At 36.0% G+C, this 18,268-nt stretch overlaps 1 protein-coding gene and 1 long non-coding RNA gene across 5 annotated transcripts in view; one reads left to right on the top strand and one right to left on the bottom strand.

Moving 5' to 3' along the window:
- LOC101927432 (uncharacterized) overlaps positions 1–14,425 on the top strand; it is a 48,388-nt gene extending 33,963 nt beyond the window's left edge. The window contains exons 7-10 of one of the 2 annotated variants that reach the window (NR_189053.1): positions 11,885–12,065; positions 12,566–12,665; positions 13,169–13,462; positions 13,720–14,425. This is a non-coding gene — a long non-coding RNA (uncharacterized LOC101927432). Of the gene's footprint in view, positions 1–11,884; positions 12,066–12,565; positions 12,666–13,168 lie in introns of both variants that reach the window. The other variant, NR_189054.1, reaches the window with a different exon arrangement.
- TMEM108 (transmembrane protein 108) overlaps positions 1–18,268 on the bottom strand; it is a 359,385-nt gene that overhangs the window by 49,945 nt on the left and 291,172 nt on the right. The gene's annotated exons all lie outside the window — the stretch shown is intronic.

The following is an 18,268-nucleotide window of genomic DNA, read 5'->3' as shown; positions in this document are numbered from 1 at the left end:
TTTTTCTGTTGCAATTATGAAAAAAATTTCTTTATATATTCTACATAGTCACTCCTGCTATATAGGGGAAGTATTACGTTTTTATTAACTTATTTTAGTGAGGTATAATTTACATATAGATAAAGAACAAGACAAGAATGTTACCTGTCACCACTCCTATTCCATGTCACACTGGAAGCCCTAGCTAATGCAATAAAGCAAGAAAAGGAACTACAAGTATACAGATTGAGAATAAATAAAACTTTGTTTGCAGATGACATGATTGCCAACGTAGAAAATCTCAGAGAACTGACAAAAAACAACAACAACAAAAAATACTGGAACTAATAAGCAATATTAATATACAAAAGTCAGTTGGTTTTCTATATACCATCAATGAACAATTGGAATTTAAAATGAAAAACACAACACTATGTACACTAACACCAAAAAGAAAAAAGGAAGGAAAGAAAACACTTAGGTATAAATTTAACAAAATATGTACAAGATCTGTATGTGGACAATGGCAAAACTCTGATGAAAGAAATCAAAGAAGGTCTAAAGAAATGGAGAGATATTCTATGTTCACAGATGAGAAGACTCAATATTGTGAAGATGTCAGTTCTTCCCAACTTGATCTACAGATTCAACAAAATCTCAATAAAAATCCCAAAGCAAGTTATTTTATGGATATTGACAAACTGATTATAAAGTTTATATGGAAAGGCAAAAGACCAATAGCCAATGCAATACTGAAGGAGAACAAAATTGAAAGACTGACACTATCCAACTTCAAGACTTACGATAAAGGTTCAGTAATGAAGGCAGTGTAATACTGATGAAAGAACAGAGAAACTGATCAACAGAACAGAATAGGGTCCAGAGACAGACTCACGCAAATAAAGTCAACTGATCTTTGACAAAGGAGCTAAGGCAATTCAATGGAGAAAGGACTGTTTGTTCAATAAACGGTGCCAGGACAACTGGACATCCACATGCAAAACATGAATCTAGACAAAGAGCTAACATCTTTCACAAAAATTAACTCAACATGGGTCATAGACCTAAATGTAAAATGCAAAACTATAGAACTTGTAGAAGATAACATAGGAGAAAATTTAGGTGACTTTGGGTTTCATGAGTTTTTAGATACAACACAAAAAGCAAAGCCTATGAAAGAAAAAAATGATAAGCTGGACTTTATTAAATTTAAAACTTCTGCTGTGATAAATTCAAAGAATAAAAGACAAGCCATCGACTGGAAGAAAATAATTGCATACATTCAATAAAGGACTTGAATCCAAAATATACAAATCTCTCTTAAAATTTAATATAAGAAAATTCAATTAAAAATTGGGCAAGAGATCTGAACAGATACCTCACCAATGAAGATAATACAGATAGCCAATAAGCATATGAAAAGATGTTCAATGTCATATGTCATTAGAGAACTGTCAATTAAAACAACAATGGGATACCACTACACACCTATTAGAATGGCTAAAATCCAAAACAAAAACAAAAACAAAAACAAAACAAAACTGATAATACCAAATGCTGGTGAGGAAGTGAAGTAACAGGAACTCTCATTCAGTGCTGACAGGAATGCAAAATGGTACAGCCACCAAGGAAGAAAGTTTGGCAGTTTCTTACAAAGTTAATCATAGTCTTACTGTATGATCTAGTAATTGTGCTCCTAGGTATTTACCTAAATGAATTGAAAATTTAAGTTCACACAGAATCCTACACATGAATGCTTATAGCTACTTTATTCATAATTGTCAACAACTAGAAGCAACCAAGATGTCTTTGAATAGGTGAACGAACACAGAAACTGTGGTACATCCGTATGATGAAATATTATTCAGCAATAAAAAGAAATGAGTTATCAAAGCACAAAAAGACGTGGAAGATCCTTAAACATATTGCTGAGTGAAAGAAGCCAGTCTGAAAAGGCTACATACTGTATTACTCCAATTTGCATACAGCAAAATTCATATATCTTAAATGTGGATTATATATCTGTTAATCAGCATTCTAATCAAGATGCAGAACATCTCCATCACCTGTCACTGGAAACTTTATATTCCTTTTCAAGCAATATTGCCTTTCAGAGCAGAACTTAATTTGAATAGAATCATTAGCTATTAATTTTTTTGTATGTTAACTCTGTAACCATATATTTTGCTAATGTCTCAGTTCTCATGGGTTAGGATCTTTCAGGAAAACAATAATGTTCCTTTGAATAATAATCTGGTATTACTTTCATAAGTTTGTAACTCTTATTTTTGTCTTTCATCATATTGCATTTATTTGAGTGTCTGGAATTGTTTGACGGTTATCTAGTAATCATGGTGGAAGGCATGCTTGTTTTAATCCTGGTTTTAATGATAATGACTACACATAATAAGAGCTATTGGTGTTAGGATAAGAACATATCTTTCTACATTTAATTGAGAGCTTTTATTCCCCTAAAGGAATAAATATTAAAAATTATCAAATAATTTTTCTGTAATATTTTGACATGGTCATCTAGCTCTGGGTCTCCTTAGACCTCATGATCTATATTAATGGCAATCTATGGATTAATAGCAATCCATCTTTGCATTCTTAGAATAAACTTCATTTGATCTTGATGTATATAATTTGACAAAACTGTTTCAGATTGCTGTATCTTTATTTATGATTAAGACTGGTTTGTAAGTTTGTTGGGTGTGCATGTGTGTGTGTTTAAGGTTTCAAGTTTGGCTTTGGAAACTCGGTTACATGAGCTGTATAATACAAACCAAGAAGCTTTAAATATTTTCAGTGACATAGGCCTCTTTATATATCATCTGAAATGCTTGTTCATTAAACTTTTCTTTTTAAAAGCCTACTTGTAAATAGTAAAAAACTTCTTTTTGGGAATAATTCTTTGACAACCTAAAAACTTAAAAATACCATCCATGCTTATAATTCTGACTTCCTATATAATTTTGGTTGATTTTTTTCCTAGGAGATTTTGAATTTTGTTGAAAATTTTACACTAAATATGTAATACAAAGTATAGTACAAAGTGTAGCAATTGCTTTAAAGTTTCCTCATCTGTAATATACTTTTCTCATACCAAATTTTTTTGTTTTGCCTTACTAAATTCACATTTTCCCTTACTAGACTGAAAGGTGCACATTTTATTATTTTGTTCCCAATCAACTACTGGATAATTCATAAGTGTGATTGTTTTTCTAATTTCTAATTATATTCCATTTTCTCTTCATATCTTCTTTAAATTCATTTTGTTATCTTTTGATTTTTTTTTGGGCTGAATTAATAGGTAATTTATCTTCATTCTTCCTTATTAAAAGATGAAAGCTTTGTCTGGAAGGATATATATCTTTTTGCTTTGCATTCAGAATTTATTACTAATGCATCTTCTTTCCTTCTGTTACTTATGCCTTAAGTATTTCTATAAAATAGTATATTGTGATCACTTTTCAACCATAAGTTTTGACATGTAGTTTTTGGACTGATGTTATTTTCTGTGCAATCGATATTTGAATTTTTAACTTTTTCTAATATCTAATATTTATTTAGGGTAAGTTTGCTTTAATGCCAAAATAGCTGTGAGATTTTTGTTTAAATTTTTTATTTTTTAAATTTCTAATCCTAGTTTTTATTGCACTAAGGAGAGGTTTTACTTTTTTGAATTTAAGGGTTTTTAATTTTTTGGTCCAGTATAGAATAATTTTTAATGAATGATCCATGGATATTTGAAAAGAAGATTATATCATCTGTAACAGTGGTTCCCAACCTTTTGGCACCAGGGACTGGTTTCATGGAAGACAATTTTTCTGTGGATGGAGAGTGCAGGGGGATGGCACTCTGTGACTACTATATTTTTGATATGGTTTGGTTGGAAAAAGGTTGTGTATAAGTAGACCTATGCAGTTTAAACGTATGTTGTTCAAGGGTCAACTGGATATTCACTTTCCCCAGTCTGCAGTCCAACCCTGGACTCTCAAATCTAGTTGATTTTTTTTCATTTTGCATATATTAAATCTCACTGTTTGTGATAAACATCTTATAAGGGTTTGGTAAATGCATACCATCAGATATCCACAACCCTAGTAAGAGTTTATACACCCTAACATTTCACTGTACAGCCCATTTTTAGTCACCCTGACCCTCCTCCCCCAATCACTGACAAGCACTGATCTATTTTCTGTCCATATAGTTTCCTTTTCTTTTTGGCTCTGGCTTCTTTCAGTTAACAAAATCTACTTAAGATTTATTCATGTCTTTGCACAAATCAGCAACCTTGTTCTCTTTTATTGCTTAATAGTGTTCCACTGCATGATTGTACCACAGTTTGTTTACTCATTCACCTGCTGAAGGACATCTTGGTTCTTAACAGTTTGGAGATATTAAGAATAAAGCTACTGTAAGCTATTAAACATTCACATGCAAGTTTTTGTAGAACATATATTTTCAATTTACTTGGATAAACACCAAACAGTGAGATTGCTAGGTTGAATAATATCTATATACTCAGCTTTATAAGAAACGTCTACAGTGTCTCTAAAGTGATTGTATCATCATTTCTTCCCATCCTCAATTAATTAGAGTTCCTGTTGCTCCACATTCTCACCAGCATTTGTTGCTGTCAATGTTTTAGCCATTCTAACAGTTGTGCTGCAGTATTTCATTTTGGATTTAGTTTCCTCTTCTCTAAGGACAAATAGTCTTGGGCACTTTTTTTATATGCATGCCACCCATATATCTTTTTGAAATGCTGCTTTGTATCTTTTGCACATTTTTTCTTGACATGTAATAATTGCACATATTTATGGGCTATAGAATGATATTTCAATACATGTATACAATGTGTAATAACCAAATCAGGGTATTGCCATATCCATCATCTCAAACATCTATCATTTCTTTGTGTTGGGAACGTTCAAAATTCTCTTCTAACTATTTGAAAATATACAATAAATTATTGTTAACTATAGTCACTCTGCAGTGCTAATAACACTAGATCTTATTTCTCCTATCTAGTGTAATTTTGTATCCCTTAACCAACCTCTCCCTATTCTCTTCTCCCTACTTCCACCCTTCTCAGGCTCCAGTAATCACAATTCTGCTCTCTACTTATATGAGACCAACAACTTTAGCTCCCACATGACTAAGAAGATGCAGTATTTATTTTTCTGTGCCTTACTTACTTCACTTTACATAATGTCCTCTAGGCTTATTTGTGTTGCCATGAATTTTCATTTTTTATGGCTGCAGAGTACTCCATTGTGTGTGTGTGTGTATATATATATACCACATTTTCTTTTTTAACTTTTTTAATTTTTAATTTTTGTGGTTATATAGTGGGTGTATATATTTTGGATTACATGAGATATTTTGATACAGACATGCAATGCATAATAATCACATCAGGGTAAATGAGGTATCCATCCTGCCTCAAGCATTTATCCTTTGTGTTACAAACAATCCAGTTATACTCTTTTAGTTATTTTTAAAATGTATAATTAAATTATTTTTGACTAGAGTCACCCGGTTGTACTAGCAAATACTGGGTCTTATTCATATACCTGTTTGACATGTGTATGTCTTCTTTTGAGAAATACCCATTCAGATATTTTGCCCATTTTTTAAATTGGGGTATTAGATTTTTTTCCTATGGAGTTGTTTGAAATTTATATTTCCTGATTATTAATCCCTTGTCAGATAGATAGTCTGCAAATATTTTCTCCCATTCTGTGGGTTGTCTCTTCACTTTATTAATTATTTCTTTTGCTGTGCAGATGCTTTTTAACTTGAAGTGATCCCATTTGTTCTTTTTGCTTTGGTTGCCTGTGCTTGTGGGGTGTTACTCAAGAAATTTTTGCCCAGTTCAATGTCCTGGAGGGTTTCCCCAATGTTTTCTTTTAGTAGTTTCATAGTTTGAGGTCTTAGATTTAGGTTTTAAATCCATTTTGATTTGATTTTTGTAATATGGTGAAAGATGGGGGTCTAGTTTCATTCTTCTGCATATGGATATCCAGTTTTCCAGCACCATTTATTGAAGAGATTGTCTTTTCTCCAATGTATGTTCCTGGCCCCTTTGTCAAAAATGAGTTCATTGTAGATGCATGGATTTTTCTCCAGGTTCTCTATTCTGTTCCACTGATTTATGTGTCTATGTCAGTAGCATGTAGTTTAGGTTATTATAGCTCCATAGTATAACTTAAAGTCAAGTAATATGATTCTTCCAGTTTTGTTCTTTTTGCTTAGGATAGCTTTGGCTATTCTAGATCTTTGCAGTTCCACATATGTTTTAGGACTATTTCTACTATTTCTGTGAAGAATGTCATTGGTATTTTGATAGGGATTGCATTAAATCTGTAGATTGCATTGGGTAGTAAGGGCATTTTAACAATATTATTTCAATCCATAGACACGGTATATCTTTCCATTTTTTGGTGTTCTCTTCAATTTCTTGCATTAATGTTTTATAGTTTTCATTGTAGAGATCTTTGGTTAATTCCTAGGTATTTTATTTTATTTGTAGCTAATGTAAATGGGATTACTTTCTTGATTTCCTTTTCAGATTATTCACTGCTGGCATACAGAAATGCTACTGATTTTTGTATGTTGATTTTGTATCCTGCAACTTATTGAATTTATCAGTTCTAATAGTTTTTTTGGTGTGTATGGAGTCTTTAGGGTTTTCCAAATATAGGATATCATCTGCAAACAAGGATAATTTGACTTCTTCCTTTCCAATTTGGATCTCCTTTATTTCTATTGTCTGATTGCTCTAGATAGGACTTCCACTGCTATGTTGAATAACAATGTGGAAGTGGGCATCCTTGCCGTGTTCTAGATCTTAGAGGAAAGTCTTTTAGTTTTTCCCCATTCAGTATGATACTAGTGATTGGTCTGTAGTATATGGCTTTTATTATGTGGAGGTATGTTCCTTCTATACCCACTTTTTTGAGGGTTTTTATCATGAATGTTAAATTTTGTTGAATGCTTTTTTAGCATCATTTGAAATGATCATATGGTTTTTGTCCTTCATTCTGTTAATATTATGTTTTACATTAATTGATTTGTGCATTATCCTTGCATCCCTGGGATAAATCCCATTTGGTCATGATGAATGATCTTCTGAATATATTGTTGAATTCAGTTTGCTAATATTCTATTGAGAATTTTTGCATCAATATTTATTAGTGATACTGGCCTATAGTTTTTTTGTTTGTTTTTTTTTGATGTGTCTCTGTCTGGTTTTGGTATCAGGGTGATACTGGTCTTATAGAATGAGTTCGGAAGTATTCTCTCCTCTATTTTTTGAAATAGTTTGAGTAGAATTGGTATTAGTTGTTCTTTAAATGTTTGGTCATCAGAGACTGGGCTTTTCTTTGCTAGGAGAACTGTTACTAAAGGTTTGCTCTTGTTATTTGTTATTAGTCCGTTCAAGTTTTGGATTTCTTCATGGTTCAATCTTGTTAGGCTGTATGTGTCTAGGAATTTGTCTATTTCTTCTAGATTTTCCAATTTATTGACATATAGTTGCTCACGATAGCCACTAATGATCCTTTGAATTTCTGCAGTATCAGCTGTAATCTCCTTTTTCATCTCTGATTTTATTTGGGTCTTCTTTTTTTCTTAGCTAGTCTGGCTAAAGGTTTGTCAATTTTATTTTTTCAAAAAAAAACAACTTTTTGTTTCATTAATCTTTTGTATTGTTTCCTTCATTTCATTTCATTTATTTCTGTTCTGAGCTTTCTTATTTTCTTCTACTGATTTTGGATTTGTTTTCCTCTTGCTCTTCTAGTTCTTTAAGATGTAATATTAGGTCGTTTATTTGACATTTTTCTTCTTTTTTGATATAGGCACTTATAGCTATAAATTTTCTTCTTAGTACTGCTTTCACTGTATCATACAGGTTTGGTATATTGTGTTTTCATTATCATTTGTTTCAAGAAAATTTTCAATTTCCTTCTGATTTCTTCATTGACCCACTGGTCATTCAGGAGGCATAATGTTTATTTCTATGCATTTGTATAGTTTCCTAAATTCCTCTTGTTATTGATTTCTAGCTTTATTCCATTGTGGTCAGAGAATATACTTGGTATTATTTCAATTTTTTGGATGTTTTAAGACTTGTTTTGTGACCTGACACATGGTCTATTCTTTAGAATGATCCATATGTTGAGGAAAGGAATATGTATTCTGCAGCCACTGGATGAAATATTCTGTAAATATCTATTAAGTTCATTTGGTTTATAGTGCATATTAAGTCTGATGTCTCTTTGTTGATTTTCTGTCTGGAAGATTTGTCCAATGCTGAAAGTGGAGTGTTGAAGTTCCCAGCTATTATTGTATTGGGGTCACTTTCTTTAGTTTTAATAATCTTTGATTTAAATATCTGGGTGCTCCAGTGTTGGGTGTATATATATTTAAAATTATTCTATCCTCTTGCTGAATTGACTCCTTATCATTATATAGTGACCTTCTTTGTCTCTTCTTAAAGCTTTTGTCTTGAAATCTATTTTGTATAAGTATAGCTACTGCACTTTTTTGGTTTCCATTGGCATGGAAGATCTTTTTCCATCCCTTTATTTTCAGTTTATTTTTGTCTTTATAGGTGAAGTGTGTTTCTTATAGGCAACTGATAATTAGGTCTTGGTTTTTTTTTTAATCCACTCAGCCACTCTATGTCCTTGATTGGAGAGTTTAGTCCATTTACATTCAATGTTATTATTGATAAGTAAGGGTTACTCATGTCATTTTGTTATTTGCCCCCTGGTTGTTTTGTGGTCTTCTCTTCCTTCTTTTCTTCCTTCCTGTGTTCTGTTCTTTGGTGTTATTATTTTCTTTGGTGTTATTATTTAATTTCTTGCTTTTGATTTTTTGTGTATCCATTAGCTTTTTGATTTGAGGCTACCATGAGGCTTGCAAATGCTATCTTATAACCCATTATTTTAAGCTGATAACAACACTCTTTGCATAAATAACCAAGCAAAAATAAGACTATTAAAAATTGTATGCCTTAATTTCATCCTCCTGATTTTAAGCTTTTTGTTGTTTCTATTTATATCTTATCGTGCTGTCAATGTCTTCAAAAGTTGTTGTGGTTATTATTTTTGATTGGTTCATCTTTTAGTCTTTCAATTTAAGATATGAGCAGTTTACACACCACAGTTATAGTGTTACAGTATTCTGTTTTTCTGTGTACTTACTAATACTAGTGAGTTTTGTACCTTCAGATGATGTCTTATTGTTCATTAATGTCATTTTCTTTCTGATTGAAGAACTGTATTTAGCATTTCTTGTAGGACAGATCTAATGTTGATGAAATCCCTTAACTTTTGTTTGTCTGGGAAAGTCTATTTCTGCTTCAGGTTTGGAGTATATTTTCACTGGATACACTATTCTAGGATAAAAGTTTTTTCCTTCAGTACTTTAAATATGTCATGCCACTCTCTCTTGGCCTGTAAGGTTTCCACTAAGAAGTCTGCTGCCAGATGTACTGTACCTTCATTTTATGTTGTTCTTTTCTCTTGCTGCTTTTAGCATCCTTTCTTTATCCTTGACGTTTGGGAGTTTAATTATTAAATGCCTTGAGGTAGCTTTCTTTGGGTTATATCTGCTTGGTGTTCTATAACCTTCTTGTACTTGGATATTGATATCTTTCTCTAGGTTTGGGAAGTTCTCTGTTATTATCCCTTTCAATAAACTTTCTACCCCATCTCTTTCTCCATCTCCTCTTTAAGGCCAATAACTCTTAGATTTGCCCATTTGAGGGTATTTTCTAGATCCTTATAAGTGTGCTTCATTGTTTTTTGTTCTTTTTTCTTTTGCCTCCTCCGACGTGTATTTTTAAATAGCCTGTCTTCAAGCTCACCAATTCTTTCTTCTGCTCAAGTCTGCTATTAAAAGACCCTGATACATTCTTCAGCATGTCAATTGCATTTTTCAACTCCAGTATTTCTGCTTGATTGTTTTTAATTATTTCAATCTGTTTGTTGAATTTATCTGATACAATTCTGAATCCCTCCTCTGTGTTATCTTGAATTTCTTTGAATTTCCTCAAAACAGCTATTTTGAATTCTCTGTCTGAAATGTCACACATTTCTTTTTCTCCAGGATTGGTCCTTTCTACCTTATTTAAGTTCATTTGGTGAGGTCATGTTTTCCTATATGATCTTGATTCTTGTTGATGTTCTTCGACGTCTGGGCATTAAAGAATTAGGTATTTATTGTAGTCTTCACAGTGTGGGCTTGTTTGTAACCATCCTTCTTAAGAAGGCTTTTCAGATATTCAAAAGGAGTTAGGTATTGTGATCTAAGCCATATCTGCGTTAGGGGACACCTGAAGCCCAGTAACGCTGTGGTTCTTACAGACTCATAGAGGTACTGCATTAATGGTCTTGGATAAGATCTGAAAGAATTCTCTGAATTACCAGGCAGAAACTCTTGTTCTGTTCCCTTAACTTCTCCCAAATAAATGGAGTCTCACACTGTGTTTTGAGCCACCTGGAGCTGGGAGTGGGATGACACAAGCGCCCCTGTAGCTACCATCAATGGGAGTGTGCTGGGTAAGACCTGCAGCCTGCACAGCACTGGATCTCACCCAAGGCCTGCTATAACTACTACCTGGCTACCATTTGCTAAAGGTCCTGGGGTTCTTTGATCAGCAGGTGGAGAAGTCAGCCAGGTTTGTTTCCTTTCCTTCTGGGCAGCAAGTTTCTCCAGGCCCCAGGTGGGTCCAGAGGTGCCACCCAGGAGCCAGGGGCTGGAGTCAAAAACCTCAGAAGTCTACCTACCTGGTGTTCTACTGTACTGTGGCTGAGCTGGCACTCAAACCATGAGACACAGTCCTTCTCACTCTTTCCTCCCCTTTCCACAGGGAGAGAAGCCTCACCTCACAGCCGCTACTACCATAGGCCACAGGGGAGTACTGCCAGTCTACTGCCAACATTTACTTTAAGCCCAAGAGCTCTTCAGTTGGCTTGTTGTGAATGCTGCCTGGCCTGGGGACTCACCCTTCAGGGCAGTGGGCTCCCCTCTGGCCCAAGGCAGGTCCAGCCATGCTATCCAAGAGCCATGGCCTGGAATCAGAGACCCTAAGAGCCCCCTTGCTGCTCTGCCCCTCTGTGGCTGAGCTGGTACACAAGATGAAAGACAAAGTCCCTTTTACTTTTCCCTCCACTTTTCTCAAGCAGAAGTAGTCTCTCCCCATAGCTACCACACCTGAGAATGTGCTGAGTCTCACTTGAAGCCAGTGAGTCTCAGAGTCCCACCCAAGACCCATGGCAAAGTACCTGGGTATTGCTGCTGGTTATTTAGAGCCCAAGGACTCTTTAGTAGGCAGTGAGTTCCCTTCAGGCCCAGGGTGTCTAGCAATGCCAACTGGGAGCTAGGGACTGGAAAGAGGGCCTCATACTCTGACTGTTGCCCTATCCCACTCTGATGAGCTGGTATCCAAGAGGCAAAACAAAGTTCTCTTAACTCTTCCCTCTCCTATTCTCAAGTGGAAGGAAGGGGTCATTTTTGGAGCCATGAGCTGTGCAACTGGGGTTTGGGGAAGGGTGGGATAAGCAAATCTCCAACCCTTAGGTTGGGGGAAAGGTGGCATAAGCACTCCCAGCTGGTGTCTCAGTAGGTCATGCGCCTTAAAGTCCACTGGTTCTGAGCTCAGTTCAGCACCAGAACTTACCTAGGAATTGGAGTCTTTGTGACCTAGACTGCCTTTCAAGTTTATTTAGGGCCCAAAGGCCTTTAGCCCTCAGTGGTGCAGCTTGCCAGAACTCAAGTTCCAACTACTGGGATGGGCAATTCCTCTCTGGCTAGGGCTGGTTTAAATACTCCCTTGATGGGTGGGTGTCGGCTAAGTTCAGCCCAGTTTTGCTTTCTGTTGTGACAGGGCAGCACTGAGTTCAACACACTGTCCCACAATTGTTGCACTCTCACACTGAAGTGAACAGATTCTTTCTCCGTGCCGTGCAGCTCCCGGCAGAGGATGAGGGAAGGGTACCATCGGTGATTCAGCACTGTGTTTCCTATCCTCTTCAATGACTCTTTCAGCGATATGAAGGTAAAACCAGGTACTGTGAGTGCTCATCTTATTTTTGGTTCTTTTGAAGGTGTTTTTTGGTGTAGATAGTTATTAAATTTGGTGTTCCCGCATGGGGGAACAATTGATAGAGCCTTCTATTTGATCATTTTGCTCTGCTCATTCTATATACCACATTTTCTTTATCAAATCTTATTTAATTTTGATTCCATAATTTACTAAAGACTAAATGTGATATGCTAAGTTTTTCACAACAATTATATTTTATCCCACTTTTTTGTCTTCAAATAGCTTTTGCTTTTGTATTTCTGTGCTATGTTATAGTACATTACACATTCATTGTGGATTGCAACTTTTATAAAACAATCCTCTATCCAAAGCATTTTCCTCTGGAGTTTTATTTTAACCAATATTAATAGTGCCACTACTACCTTGTTCTGACTTTTGCTTTTTTTGATTTAAAAATATATTTGTTTTATTTTTGTCTGATTTTTCTCTATCTTTATTTGTAAATCTTTTGTGTCATTTGAGTTAGGTGAATGGAGCACATGGCTATGCTTTGTTTTAAATGAAAGTCTTTGTCATCCAGCGGAGGACTTTAATTCATTTACATTTATTGACATAAATGTTGGTAGGTCTTATTTCTCTCATCTTGCTTTACAATTTCTATTTTACTGCTTGTATTGCTTTTATTTTGATGCTTCCTTATTTCTTCATCTTTAAAGTATATGTACTGCTATTTTCCTACCATAATTACATTTCTCTAATTACAAATATGAAACTCTGAATCTCTTCCTTACCAATCCTATGTAAAATAAGAAATTTATCAAGCTGGTGGGCTTGATAAAGGGCTTACCCATTCCTGTTTCTAAACAAACAATTATGCTTATTTAAACAATCTGTTCCAAACAACTACCAGCAAAAATGTGAACTGTTCTTCATTAGTCTACTAATTGAATTTTCTAACTATCCTGATGCCAGGAACACCATGTATCAGTTATGCCTAAAATGTCATTTAAAAATAAAATTGCTTGAGGACAAATCAGAAATTAGCATCTTTAACTATTTAACTATTTAATTACTTTAAGGGCTCCTGGTCATAGTTTCCACATTCTACTTCCTTCTCTGTTACAGACTTGAAAGCGTGTGTCAGATCCCTTCACTATATCTTCAGACCTGCCCCAAGGAGTGAGGAAGGGCAACACCAAGAACTTCTCTCCAAGGACCATAACCTGCGAACCCCATCTCACCTCCTCCTGCCAGATGGACACAGTCATTGTCCTCCTGGCTGATCCCATGTCCATGTCTTGCTCTGGCTACTTTCATACACCCATAATGACATTTTCCATCTACTCAATTTTTTAAAAGCTCAGCTCGAACCTCACGGATTTTCCTGACAATCTGCTTCTCTCAATGGCCTTAATTTAAGTGAGGGTTGTCAGTCTTACTGGGTCTCGTTTTTTGTCTTAAATAATAACTATTTATGGGTATCAAGTGTCTCCTCAATTTGGCTATGATCCTTCACGGCAGAAATACTGTCTTATCTTGTGATCATGGAGTCACAAGATTTCATGGCTAGGAATATTCGTCAAATTAATCCTAGATTGAGGATCAGGTAGTATGTGGTCTGATTCTAACTCAACAACTTGCAGAAACTCACTTCTTTTTTCTTTTTTTTTCCCCAGGAGGAGCTATCGTATTAACTGACGAAACTCACTTCATTTCTTTGGACCTGCAAAATGAGGATGGGCTCTAAACCACCTCTAAAGTTAATATTCTATGATTCCATGATAAGGCTATTTGTCATTTATAAAAAAAGGAACTTCCACATAGCCCAGAGAAAGGAAATGACTTTTTCAAGTTTACAGAGTCAATTAATGGACGAAATGTAATTTGAAATTCAATCTCCTGATCCCCAGTCTATTGGGAGTTCTTTCAGAATGTCCCTTGACTGTCCCTCAAAGTGCCAGCATGTATGAAACCTTGTTAAGGATGTATGCTCAATGAAAATACACAAATTGACTTAACAAGAAACTAAACTCTCCAGAAAGATGCAGTTGACCCAAAACTCTGAATATCTTTTATGTTTAAAACTTTCTTTTTTGAACAAAATTGTACAGTTACTTCTCTATTTCAACTCTTAAGCCTTTTATGCCACGTCAAAGGTTAGCTCTCTTTTCTCTCTGTTAATAAAGTCTTATTCTTGACTTTGGAACTGTATGCCAAGCTAAGGGGTCCTTTATTGTTTATTTATTTTTTGATTCTCTACTTTTGATTCACACATCTTTTCTACAAGAAAGACAATTTATAGCAGGGGCATATTACTTTCTTTGGGCCTCTGTGTCCTTATCTATAGCCAAAAGGTATGGAAATAAATGTTTTCTAAAGGTCTTTCTGGCTCTAAGTTTATTTGATTTTTTTTTTTTGAAAGAGGGGCCAGGGAATGGATAAGCAGAGTAAAGAAGGTGAAAAAAGTAGTCTGATACATGGTTAAAATGTAGAGAGTTTATTTTGGAGAGTAATTTCAGAAAACAGGTATGGGGGACTGGAAAGAATGAAAAGGTGAGGGAGAGAAAGAACATCCAAGGGTGTGTTGTTTTAATGAAAATTTAAATTTAATAGCCAGTGTATGGCTACTATACTGGACAGTGCAGGTCTAGAACTTTCATCATAGAACTAGAGGCATGGCTTCCCTCAAAAAAGCCACAAGCTCCCACAAAGAGACCTTCACCCTACAAGGAAGGAGAGGTGCTGCACCCACATAGAGCTTGCTAGGGCCTTGTCACCATGGCATATGCAGCCATTCCACTCTGGCCGCAGATGGGGTCATGGTGGATTCATGTTAGGGACTGAGGAGATGGTCTAATTCTTTGACAAACCCTCAGGGATCTGATACTTGGAGCACTACAAGGGATAAACTCTCTTTCTGTATGTCAATTTATCTTCCTGAAATAGTTTGTGAAAGTAACACAAATGGTCATTCACTTTCCTAATGGTTTCTTGGTTAAAGGAACATGCTATGCAGTGTGAATGATCAACTTAAAGGATAGGAAGAAGACTGAATCGAGCTGATTGAAAATGACTAAAATAGAATGGCTACAAGGTATAACCCTCTATCTCCCATTTTGAGAAACGTCTTGAAATATACCAGCACCCAAGATTTAAGTTTGGGGCTATAAGCATTTCCTAATAAGGCTAATTACCACAGCATCAGAAGAATCTTGTTCTAACACTATTTTACCTACCTGCCTAAAAGCCAGGGTCCACACTGAGATGGATCTCTCTGGTCCCTGTGTGTCACTGTTGGTATCTCCTGCCACATATTACAACTCTCCCAGCTTTCCCTGTTTAGTGGGCATTAACTAGCTTTCAGAGCGAGACTTTAAGGTAGAAATAGATGAAACCATTTTCCTCCCTCATACACTGTCCTTCCTAATATGAGGAGTGGCTGTTCCAGTGGCAAATTGGACACCTCAGCCACTTTGGATCATGATCTGCCTGGATAAGTCAACTGAGGGACCCTGGGAGCTACAGGGAGCCATCTGGAGATTCACTGTACCATTTATCATCTTCTGCTCCTTGTGCACCCCTCCCCTATAAGACTTCAGATGATATTTTTGTCCTCTTGGCTAACTAAATGGGGTGAGGTCCTTAAGCTAAACTTAGAGAGTGTCTAGGTAAGTGTGTGTGTGTGTGTGTGTGTGTGTGTGTGTGCACGTGCGCACGCACGCGCACAAGCACACATGTGCACAAGTTTTCTTCCAACCAACATGTAACTCCATAAAAAGCACAAGAATGTGCTGTAGAAACTCAAGGTTGCAGTCCCCTAAGTGTGACTATGGTCTATACGTTCAGACCTGGCTATATCAGGTCTGACTATAAGACCAGATCACGATCCAAACCCTGTAGCCAGAAAATTGAACTCAAAGTTTCAGTACATATTTTTGACATAAGCTGACTTCTGGTCTGGCCTCTTGGGTCTTGAGGCCTCCCCATCCTCCATCACTAGAATTCCCCTGACAAGTACTAATAAGATTGCTTCTTCTGAGTTCTTGAATATGTGTATCATTGAACACAGAGGGCCATGCCTGGGAAAATCAGATGAGAAATGATAATCAGTACGGGTCCTTGGGAGTCCCAGTAGATACATAGCTTGTAGTCTATAAATGGCACTGACATAGTTGCTCAGGGCAGTTTCTATATGCCTTGTGCTCTTCAGAGGGTTCTGATAGGCTAAGAAAGGCAATATTTTGGCTGTTCAACCCATATACTGTAGCCCACACTGGATAGTTTGTCATTGGTTTTAGGAAATACAGTCATTTGTCTAGTTTCTCTGCCTCTATTAATGTTCCATCAGAGGAATGTTCCATTAGGATGCTAATGCTTGGGCCATAAAATAATCAACAATGGGAGAGACCTGTTAACCCTAGATCAAATCCATATACTCACCCTTGAATATCATTTCCCTCCTGTGTAACCAGCATTTTTTCATTACAAATAAGACATCTGATGACAGTGAGCGTCTCCAAACCAATCAACCACCCACACCAAACGTCAGTATATTCCCTTTAGTAAAATGTTTTTCTAGCCTGCAGCCTCATTTTGTTGAGGCCTACCATGATTTCTTCCATATTTAAGAGCTGACAGACACATGTACAACTGCTTCTTTTTACTTTATGACTTTTTGATTTTTTATTAGAGGTTTAAGTAAACCTCTATGTAGTATCATAAGCCTCCCATGCACCAAACATTATCAGCCCCCAGTCAGTCTAGTTTCATCTAAATCCCCATCCCCGTCCCTCCTCTCCTATGTTGTTTTAAGGTAAATTCCATCAGATAATTATAACTATTTTATATATTTATTTGATCCTCTTTCTCTGCTATGTTATGTTGTCTACTTTTAACTTCTAATGCTTTGTTTTGAGGTAAATCCCAAACATCATACTTTTAAGGAATCCCTTTCTTCCTCTTAGCCTGATATACTCTGTTATAAAGTTATTTGTTTAACTAGTTTCCATAGAATTGAACACATTAAAAAAACAGATGCAATTTGGTCAGCATCAAAATATGAGTCAGAATTCATGAGGCCAACAAAGCTGGCTCCATTGTCTAGAAAAAGCTAAATATAATTGGAAGACACAAGCACTTTATTTTTGCTAAACAACAGAACAAAGCAAATACACTATTACCACCACCACCAACAAAAAGATAAACACAAGATATAATCTGTGTAATCACTTTCTTGTAAAACCAGATGGTTTTACTACCCAAGACTTTCTCCTATGTCATTCTAGAAAAGGATTTTTCCAAGAAAACTAGCTATAACCCACATATCAAAATAATACATATTCTCATATTCTCTCTCTTACACACACATATATACACACCCCACCTCCAAACCCACACCCATCTTTGAATATTGTTTCCCTCCTGCTTAACCTTTTCAGATGGAGAATCTGGATTTAGACAGGAGAGCTTCCTCTCCACCTCTTTGCCTCTCCAGGAATCCCCTCCCCTGCAGCTGCTCTCCATAGCAACTGGCAGAGGAGTCTCAGCAGCAGCTACTGCACCACAGGCTTCCGCAGGGGAAGCATGGCCAGCAGAGAGAAGGCTTCTTATCTATTGAAAGGAAACTTATTTTTTAAAAAGTTGTCTTCATCAAGGGAACTGATCTAGCACATTTCAGGGTAGGTAAATAGCTAGAAGTATTTATGGCATTTTTAATGTTCCTTTTCCTCCTGTATGCTGTCACAGATTTTTTTTTCTCCAAAAGCAGGAAACTGCCAGATGCAAAGCATAAAAAGACAGGTGGAAACTCATTCCTTGGAGAACCTGTATTGCATCTTTCCCAGCACCAAGATTCTTGATGCAGGAGATTTTAGACTTAATCCTCTCTAGGTAGAGGGAATATAACCACACACTATCCTATAACCCTTCTCTTAGGGAATCTAGATCACAGCCTAGAAACATGTTTACTCAGCAATTAAGTGTTCACCGTGCAGTGCAATTTTGGGTGAAGGCTAAACACAGGGTGCTGGGTCTTCACTTTGCAATTTGCTTTTTCTCCTGCTCTTGTGTGCCTGCAGGCTATGATAAGAATTGTTGAAACTTTTTCTTTGCCTTAAAAAAATAAATAAAAAAAAGGAGGCTTTCTGAGGAAAGGAAAGGATAAGTAAAATCTCTCCCAAAAGACCTTCTTGTCTGATTAGCAAAGCTGCTCAAAGATGAACCTGC

Source organism: Homo sapiens, chromosome 3 (assembly GCF_000001405.40).
Source record: "Homo sapiens chromosome 3, GRCh38.p14 Primary Assembly".
Taxonomy (NCBI): Eukaryota; Metazoa; Chordata; class Mammalia; order Primates; family Hominidae; genus Homo; species Homo sapiens.
This window is presented reverse-complemented; position numbering and strand designations above follow the sequence as displayed.